The following is an 8,828-nucleotide window of genomic DNA, read 5'->3' as shown; positions in this document are numbered from 1 at the left end:
TGCAGAATACACGATCTAATACATGTAAAATGCTTCACCCAGTGCCAATGAGACTCTACAATGGTGGGTATTATTATCGGGAACTGCAAAGGGCAGAGAACGGGGGTTGGGAGCATCCATACGCCAGCTCTAGGTTGCCCAGGAACGCAAAGCGGGGCTGAGCGGACAAACCAGAGGCAACCCCAGGACTGGACACTCTCTATGGCAGCTAAGATTCTGGAGGCTGGGAGTGGGGCATCTCACAGACCTTCTCCATCTAGGAGCACCCACTCCCACTCTTTTGACCTCATTTCCTGTAAGGTGGTACCATAAAAGCTTTTTGAGGCCAGAGCACACCAAATACCTGTGACTACTTTATTTTCCAAAGAGAAAGTCAGCAGCAGCAACATCCAGATGAAATACTCTGATCTTGAGAGATGCAGAAATCGAATTATGTTTCTGTCTCTTCCTTTCCTGTTACAGTAAAAAGGTTATTTGTCCTAATGCTTGAAGTTCTTTACACAAATATTCATGGCCCTGTCACTTGAAAGGCCATTCAGATAAATAAATGTCTGCTTTCCAGAGTGAAGCATTTGGGGGTGGGTGGTGAATGGGATGAAGGGGTGGGCCAAAAGACCAGGACTGACAAGGTCAGCCTGCCCCCAAAGCAACCAGGCAACCCAGCACCATTTTCTCCCTGCTTCAGTGCCTTCCCCAGCAGGGCCCAGAGCTCCCACTTCTGACACCTTGCACCAACAGGCTAGACTGGAACCTCAGCTCTCCAGCCCCACCAGCACCAAGGTGGGAGCAAAGAGGGCCGCACTGGGTAGGAACATCAGCCAAAAGTACTAGATACTGCCCCATGGAGATGGAGAAGAAGGGAGAAGGCCAAAGGGTGGGGAGTGGGGCATGAGCACCAACCTCACCTGCCAGGAATGTCTCAACCCCAGGTAGAGCCATGAGGGCCCCAGCTCAAGGCAGCGGCCTTAGCCATACCACAGCCTGGCATGAGCTCCACATCACAGACATCCTGAGCCCCAGCTCAGGAGCTGTGTCTTCAGTGACTTCCTCTGACTTCCCCTTCTGGGTGTGCCCTGGAGCTACCTGGAGGAACAGACCATCCAGACCCAACTCAGAATCTCAGGAGCCTTGGACTCAGTGGTCCTACTGCCAGTTCTCTCCAGTGGGTACCTCCTATTGTGGGTCTGGGGCCATCTTAGAGCCTACCTGTCAGGGGGCAGCCCAGCCTGGACAGCCCTTGGCCTGATGCCCAGGGAACATATCAACCCGGGGGGATTGTTTTCCCTACTGGTGCACTCTCCCTCACTCATGTCTCCTCCTGGTTTCTGTGAGCTAATCAGAGAGAAGGAGGGGGAGGAGGGGGTGCTGCTTGCCTTCCCCGTTATCTGCAGCAATCCACGGTGACTAATGCTCCCAGTTGGTAAAAAGGCAGTGTAATCAAAACACTTTTTTTTTAGTCCTTAAAGTTAGTCATTCTCCCAGAGTGGAGGAAAAAAAAAAAAAAGCCCACAGCAGGCACCACGAGATGCAAGCTGAGAGGCCTGCACTGCTGGGTGGAACCAAAGCATTGGCTGTGGCAGCTCCTGCAGGTCAGAGGCCAGGACTCCTCCTCCTCTGGGTCCTTGGCTATCCTTCCTCCACACCCGCATTTGTTCTTGCTTTCCCCAGCATCTGGGCCTTCTGATCCCTGAAGGACGTCCATGCCATGTGAGGAGCTGCCCTTTCCTGTCACCCTGCCCGGTGCTGCCACCTGCTGGCCTGGCACTCTCCGTACTGGAGGAAGCATATAAAAGCTCCCAGGATGAGGCTGAGCTTGGCACCCTGGTCATAGGGTGGCCCTCCCTCCACCCACAACCTGGCCATTTAGTAGCGGTGCTTCTCCTGGTTCCATCTGTCTGCTGGCTTCTGACCTCACTGTGCCTTGACAGAACCAAAGGTTGTTGGAGGTCAAATGGCAAACTGTAGTGGCAAAAGCATAAGGATCAAAGCCAGGGTGCTCAGGTCAGAAACCCCACTTCACTGCTTCATGAAGCTATACTATTGCTTCATGGCTATACTTCAGCGCCATCATCTGTGAAATGATAATAATGGTAGTATCCACCTCACAGGGTTGAGGCAAGGATTAAATGTGAACTGCAGAGAATAGTGCCTGTCATGTCATGAGTGCTCAATTATTGTTAACTTATAATAAAAATAATAACAATAAAGTGGAATATAAACCATCTCATCGCTCTTTCTTGTCCAAGGCAGACATGACTAATCAATCATAGAACTTCCCCACTGATGGCAGATTCCCCAGAATCCTCAACACTGCATTCCAAGCAGACAATCAGAGTTGGCACATGGGATGATATCCATTCGCCCTCCCAGATCTAACCTGGACCTTTCCCATTGCAGTCAAGGAAAATGAGGCCCAGAGGAGGGACAAGACTCCCTCAAGCCACTTGGAGGCAGAGCCACGGGTCAGACAGGCGTTCCTGGTTCTGCTCGCTTCTTGCTGTCCTGGCTTCTGATGTGTCACTTCACCCTGACCTTTGAGCAGTCCGTGTGGGCCTCCCACCACTGGAAATCTCACCCTGATTTCCTCCTTCTTCTCCCACCCTTGCTCCTCCTCCTATGTCCTTGCCCCCCAAAGGCCCTGGGAAAGCTATTTTTCTGAGACGTCCTACTGAGCAGGTACAGAGTAGGGAGAAGTGGGGCAGTGAGGCCACAGAGAAACCTGAGGCCTGTGTCTGAATATCTGCAGGAGCCTCCCTGAGGAATCAAGACCTTTAGGGCTCCAAGAGAGCTGAGCCCACCAATTTGGCCCTATCACATTCAGTTTTTCAGCCTTAGCCCAGTGCTATAATGAAGTCCCTGACAGCCCAGGTCCAGGTTCTGGGAATGCTCACTCTTCACTAATAAGAGGTTGGCATGGTGAAAGACTCGGGGGCCAGCCCTAGACTTCTGTGTGGGAAAGGCTGGGAGAGACAGGACATGACAATCCCAGAGATGAGAGTCAGTGGGAAGCACCTGCTTACCAACTTCTGAGCAAAAACCTCCAAGGAAAAGTTGGGGGCTGATGGTGGAGCAGGTTCTGCTGCTGCTTTTCCCCTCGTAAACAGCTTTGTCCCAGAAGTAGACCTCTGCCACCTGAACAGTCTTTTACCTTCAGGCTCAGACTTCTGGGGAAGAATCAGTATTTACAAGGCTTGAAACCAGGAGTATCCACCTCTACCCAAAGCGCCTCCACTCTCAGCTTCTACTTAGAAACCCAATTTTCTCTTTTCCATTCCTTCCCTGCAGGGGCAGGATCAATCTGTATCATGCTGTCCCTTTGGTTATAAATAAGAAAGACATAGCTCCCGACCCTGCAGGCTGAGTTTTTCACAACAGTGGGAAGTGTTTGTGTGTCTCCATGTTCAGCTCCCCAGGGATCAATGCCTCATGGCACAGCAGGCTCATGGAGGAACACAGGATAGCAGGATGCCTGACTGTCCCTCCTCAGCCCAGTGCCCCTCTAGCTGAGCGAATGAGCCACAGGTAAGGAGACCAAGCAGGCACATTCCAGACAGACTCCTGGGAGGACACCATTCTTTTTAGTAACCTCAAAGATCCTGCTGGCTGCATTAAAGATTTCGAGGTGACCTGTCAACAGCACAGCCCCAGAAAAATTCATATTTAGCTTTATCCAAGATATCACCAGTTCCTCAGACCTGCCCACTTCTCTGGGCTTGCCCCTCTGTTCACCTGCCTTTCCCATTCTCCTATTTCCCTAGGGCCTCTAGAGTCAACAAGACAGCTGACTTGGAACCTTGCAATGTTGGATACTTTGGGATGTGATCTACCCACTCCATCTTATAGATGAGGGGACTAAGGCCACAAAGGGGATGTGACTTATCTGAGGTCAGTTATAGTGTCAAAGGTTGAACTGGAAATAGAGCCGCAGACTCCTCCAGACTTGTAGTCCAGAACTTATCCATTCTAGTCCTCTAGGATGTGTCTGCTGCCCTCCAGCCCTGAAACAGACTTCTACTAGGATATAGCAGTTACCTAGGCTAAAACGTTTGGAAATATTTATCCCTGTGGGGCATAACTGAGGGAGGCAGAACATGGGGAAGGGAGGAAGCAGGTGGGAAAACTATTCACAGGTGCTAACTGCCAGGAGGCTCCTAAACCCACAACAGCCCTTCCATCCGTCACACTCTCTGCAAAGCAGCAAGGACTCTCTCTTTCCCTTTACCCACACTCTCTGCCCAGGCTACCCTTTGGTGACTTCTGCTCTTCCTCTTTACTCTTCAAGGCTGCTCTTGTGCTCATTTTGGCCTGTTTCCTGAGGAACAACATGGTAATGAAGCTGATCTGCATGATGTGCTTGGGGATCCAACCTCCATTGGAAACGTCAATTGAGTCAAACTATGGACTCTCAAGAATGGAAACAGAAAACACAAATGAGAGACTGCATCCTGTGGCCCACCCTCCTACCTCTCCTGCTCAAGCCCTCTACTCCACCCTAGGAGGTCAAAACAAATCATACACTACTTCTGCTCTAGGTCATTGGTCATATTTTTCCCGCTAGGTCATTGATTAGCAACCCCCTAAGCAGTCCCTGAAACAATCCCGGTCCATCTGAGGAAGGAGAATTCCTAGAGAGAAGGTCACTGGGGGCCCAGCAGCACCTGCACGGGCCTCACTGCCTTCTTGTCTCTCTTCCAAGGCAGGGAGGTACTTAGCGGTGAGGAAACCAAGTCGGCCCAGAATCCCAGGCAACTTGTGAGCCACTAAGGCCCTGAATTCTGACTTTGGGAGACCCGAGGCAAGTCAGCTGCTTGCTTGGTCCTGTCTGTGTCTTAGCCATGGTAAGTTCCCTCTGCCTGGAGCCTCGTCACCCCTCATCTCAGATTCACCTGGCTAGCCCCGATTCTGCCTTCAGGGCTTGGCTTACACACTGGCTCCTCCTGGAAGCCTTCCCCAAAACCCCATGTGCTACTTCAGGGTCCCCTTCTAGGCTGCCACCACACCTCATTCTATCCTATCCTATAGCATGATTATAATTGCCTGCTTGTCTCTCCCTCCAGGAAAGTAGCTCTGGGAAGGAACAAGAGCAGGGCAGATACTTCTCTGAGATAGCTGTATCCTAAGGTTGGCTCGGTACCTGACACTAATATTAGTGCAACTAGTATTAGTTAAATGAAGGAATAGAACGAATGGGGCAATTTACATCATTTGAGTCCTGTAGAGGAGACCAAAGGGAAGGGCTGAAAGGCAGGGAACAACTCATACTCTGCGTCTTATTGTGTTGAATAACTCTAGGAAACATTCCAACCTGAAAAGCACCTATCTATTGATATTCAGAGCCCTGTGCCATCTTGGAAGGGAAACGTCCGTTTGTTTGTAACAGGTAATGCATGTGTGGTGTACAAACTGTAAAAGATAGGAAAGAGCATTCAGAGAATGTAAGTTTTCCACTTTCTCCATCCCAAATGGCTTCTTCTCCCACAGACAATTGCTGCCACTGTCTCTGGATTAGAAACCACTTGACAGAGGGGACAGCCCGGCTAAGGGCCCTGCATGGTCAGGTGAAGAGATCTTTAGGAGTCAGTGTTGAAGGCAGAAAACGCCCCCAGAGGTTCCCCTCATCCCCCGTTGCAGCCTGTGTGTCTAAGCGCTTGGCCAGAGCCAGAGAGTCGCCGGCAAGGGAAACTCCGCGGCGAGCACGCAGCAGCAGAAGGGTTAACGCGCCGGGCTCCGCCTCCCAACCGCCTCTTCCGGGCAGAGAGGCGGGCTTACGTCACTTCCTGGAGACTGGTTGAATCCGGAAGTGACCCTAGAGAAACGAGTTGTGGCTGAGGACCCCGGCGGCAGACGCAGGTTCGGGACCATGAGCTGGTGAGTGAGGCCCAGGCGGCGGGAGCTGCTGGACCCGCGGACCCGCGAGGCCCCTGGCCCTGTGTCAGTGCCGCGTCCCGGCTCCCTCCGGTCCCGCGCGACCCCTCCGCCCCAGAGCAAGGCCCGACAGCCCCTGCCCTAGGGTCGTTCCCTCGGTGCTTTCCGGAGTCGCAGTCTCTCAGCAGGACTCCCGGGGAGAGTGGCGGATGATCCTCTTAGCCTGGGACTCCGCGTCTGACCCGTTTTGCCGGACTCGCGTCCTCCTAGCTCCTTGAAGTGAGGGACTTCCTTGTTCCCTCCTTTTTTAAACACCCATTGAGGTGGAGTCAGTGTCGTCTTTCTCTCCTGTGGGCATCTCTGCCCCGCGCCAGTCCCTCCAGAGCTGTGGCCCTCGCTGTGGCAGCCTGGACCCAGTTCACTAATCAAAACCCACTCCCTTCTGGGTAACTATCCTCTTTGCACGACTTAGCAGGCTTCAAAAGACAAGGAAAACTTGCTTCTCTTTTTAAAGGGGCCAGAATTACACTCCGCACACACCCTTCCACTGTGGGATTGGACTGGTTTTAATCATTCCAGAGCTATTACTCACTGCCTGCCCTCTAAATAGGCATGGTTAAGTTTAAACTTATGGGAACTATCATGCCATGAGAAAAGAAGCCAGGGAGTCTTAGAGTAATAGAGTCACAATTCCAGTTGCTGCAGTATGATGTGATACTTGGGTCATAGTAGACACTTCATAATGGTGTATTTATTTTGTAAGACTCAGTTTGCCCAAAAGGCAATCCCCATTTGTTGCTCTCGATTATTTATGTTCACAGGAGAGAATTGTGACTTGCCTGCCTTCCTGGGGCTTTCTTAGAGGTTAGAGAATACTCATATGCAGCACCTTACCTTACCGTCAGGCCCAAGGACCTATATAGCCACAACCCTGGACCTCAGGGGATTCAACTATAGTGTGTGAATAAATTGAGCCCCAGAGATGTACAAGATTAATCAGCCCATGGACATAGGGAACATATTTGCCACTCTGTCCTCAGAGGCTAGTGTGTTTGTTTATGCAAAGCGCATGATAACCAGTTATGAATGAATTAAGATAACAGAATGTCCTTCAGGAAGGCTTTTGAAGCTTAATTTTGGCCATCAGTGGAGAACGCAAGCAGCTGATATCAGTCAGTGTCAGGGATACTTCTCTAAAGTAAAATGCGAACCATCTGTCCCCTCCCCCACCTGTTTCTTAGACCAAGATTGATGGACAAATGTCAGACAATCACCGCAAGCACGGGAGGAAAGCCTGAAGCAATGTCCTAATAAGCCCCGGCAGGAGCTTCTGCTTTTCCCTCCACCATTTGCTCCAGGAGGCCAATAAGGGGCTGGAGCCTTAAAAAGCTACCTTCCCTGTCTTGTTATAACCTAGTTAGTGGTGGGCAAAGCGGCAATTCTTCAGTTCCCTTTCCCAGAGGAATTACGTCCTTTCAGTGTCATTCTGGGCCCCCCAGTCTTGCAATATAGATATCCTTTTGGCTGCTGCGTCTTGAATCTTTGGAGTGTTCTTACCTAATTTTTCAAAGTGAAAATGAGGCAGTACAGATGCTTTATATTGCCTAGATTGGCCTTTACTGAACCAATCTTTCCTTCACAAGTTGGGAGAAGAGCACAGCAGAAACTAATAAAGGTAAATGATTCTCTGGGTGATCCGAAGCAGGTTGTTTCCACCTGTCTCACAGAAAGTTTCCCTTCTGAAAAAATAGTAGCCCATTCCTTAAAGGTTATCCTGTCAGGTTGGAGAGAATTGAGATTGACAACTGTCTAACAAGAGCTGAGATTTTCATCTAGTAGCTTTAATTTACCAGTACATGCACATCTTGGTATCTCCTTGGACTGAGAGTCACAGCCAGAAGGGTGGCTTTGTCCCTCAAAGCTGAGATTCCTTTCTCTTCCCCCTTAAAGGGCTTCTACGTCATCTCTTGCGTGGACCCTGACCCTGTCTCTCAAAGACGGGAACAGCACCGGCGCCTGGGCACACAATCACACTCAGTTCCTAGCTCAATGGCTGGCAAGGAGACCGGGGCTGGGTCCTTCTGATTCACTCCCTGAGTGGTTTTCCTGCCCCCAGAATGAATCCATCCATTCATGTGAGACTGGAATTCTCATTAGGGGAAGAGACCAGAGTGACGTAGAGCCATCATGGGAGGCTGATGCCCAAGGTCAAGTTCACCAAGTACATGGGCTGTGCCAAGCCATCATTAAATAAGGCACATGGCCCATGGTCCCCAGAGGGTAACCATTGTTCTGGGCTAGGCTGAGCTTTCAAAATGTCACAGTGAGAAATGTCCAATATTGATGCCCTTTGCACACTGTGGACTTTGCATGAAGAGTGAGAGGCCTTTGTTCTCTGCTTCCTCTGTGCAGGCAACCCGCCCACCCCCTGTTTGTTTAGTGGGTACCTGCTGCCTTCCTGCACCATCTACCCATCCACTCCCCATACACCCATCTGCCTTTCAGAAAAGTGACCCGGTGGTCTGTCCTACTAGGAAGAAGGCATTTGATATTCACATCTCAGATCACAGATTCACTTCTTGGCCTCAAGCCAAATGCTTCTCTCTCTCTCGCTCTCTTTTTCTCTCCCATTGTCCACCCCACCTCCCCCCGCCATTTGCCCCCCTCCCAACTTTCTCTCCTCTCCTCCCCACTCACCCCCTCCCTCCCTATTTCTGTCTCCCTCTTGTCTCCCTTTTCCCCTTCCTGTCTCTCTTCCCCATCTTCCAGTGTATACTCAGGTGGCTTTATTATGGTATGGAGAGAGGATTAAGTAGAATTAAGAATAGTGACCTCAATCTAAGCTGGCTCCAGGAATTGTAGCCTCCTGTTGAACCATACACCTTGATGATTTTAGGCTTAAACGAGGAGGAAAAGGGAGTACTGGAAGAAATCTCCCTATACCTAGGGGTCCAGTAGTTTGA

The 8,828-nt window shown here is 50.7% G+C and overlaps 1 protein-coding gene across 4 annotated transcripts in view, besides 5 other annotated features; it reads left to right on the top strand.

Moving 5' to 3' along the window:
• Window positions 1,083–1,932: a transcriptional cis regulatory region, noted in NCBI's record as "candidate enhancer chr8.740 targeted for multiplex CRISPR interference". NCBI's record gives its function as "positively regulates CCAR2 gene expression with high confidence in K562 cells {active_cell/tissue: K562}" and the evidence as "EXISTENCE:mutant phenotype evidence [ECO:0000015][PMID:30612741]".
• Window positions 5,439–6,068: an enhancer, noted in NCBI's record as "H3K27ac hESC enhancer chr8:22526357-22526986 (GRCh37/hg19 assembly coordinates)". NCBI's record gives its function as "activates a minimal SCP1, AML or CMV promoter by ChIP-STARR-seq in naive H9 embryonic stem cells {active_cell/tissue: H9 hESC(naive)}" and the evidence as "EXISTENCE:reporter gene assay evidence [ECO:0000049][PMID:30033119]".
• Window positions 5,439–6,091: a biological region, named in NCBI's record as "H3K27ac hESC enhancer GRCh37_chr8:22526357-22526986".
• Window positions 5,622–5,681: an enhancer, noted in NCBI's record as "active region_27084". NCBI's record gives its function as "activates an Ori minimal core promoter by ATAC-STARR-seq in GM12878 lymphoblastoid cells {active_cell/tissue: GM12878}" and the evidence as "EXISTENCE:reporter gene assay evidence [ECO:0000049][PMID:35858748]".
• Window positions 5,791–8,828, top strand: part of BIN3 (bridging integrator 3) — a 48,704-nt gene continuing 45,666 nt past the window's right edge. For all 4 annotated transcript variants that reach the window (NR_156436.2, NM_001363046.2, NM_018688.6 and 1 more), the window contains exon 1: window positions 5,791–5,868. Coding sequence is in view for 2 of the 4 variants with exons in the window: in NM_018688.6 (NP_061158.1) it covers window positions 5,861–5,868 (8 nt within the window). In the remaining 2 variants the exon portion in view is untranslated. The remainder of the gene's footprint in view (window positions 5,869–8,828) is intronic.
• Window positions 5,932–6,091: a silencer, noted in NCBI's record as "silent region_19005". NCBI's record gives its function as "represses an Ori minimal core promoter by ATAC-STARR-seq in GM12878 lymphoblastoid cells {active_cell/tissue: GM12878}" and the evidence as "EXISTENCE:reporter gene assay evidence [ECO:0000049][PMID:35858748]".

Source organism: Homo sapiens, chromosome 8, assembly GCF_000001405.40.
Source record: "Homo sapiens chromosome 8, GRCh38.p14 Primary Assembly".
NCBI classification, from domain to species: Eukaryota; Metazoa; Chordata; class Mammalia; order Primates; family Hominidae; genus Homo; species Homo sapiens.
Note: the sequence above shows the minus strand (reverse complement) of the source record. Positions and strands in the feature narration are given on the sequence as shown.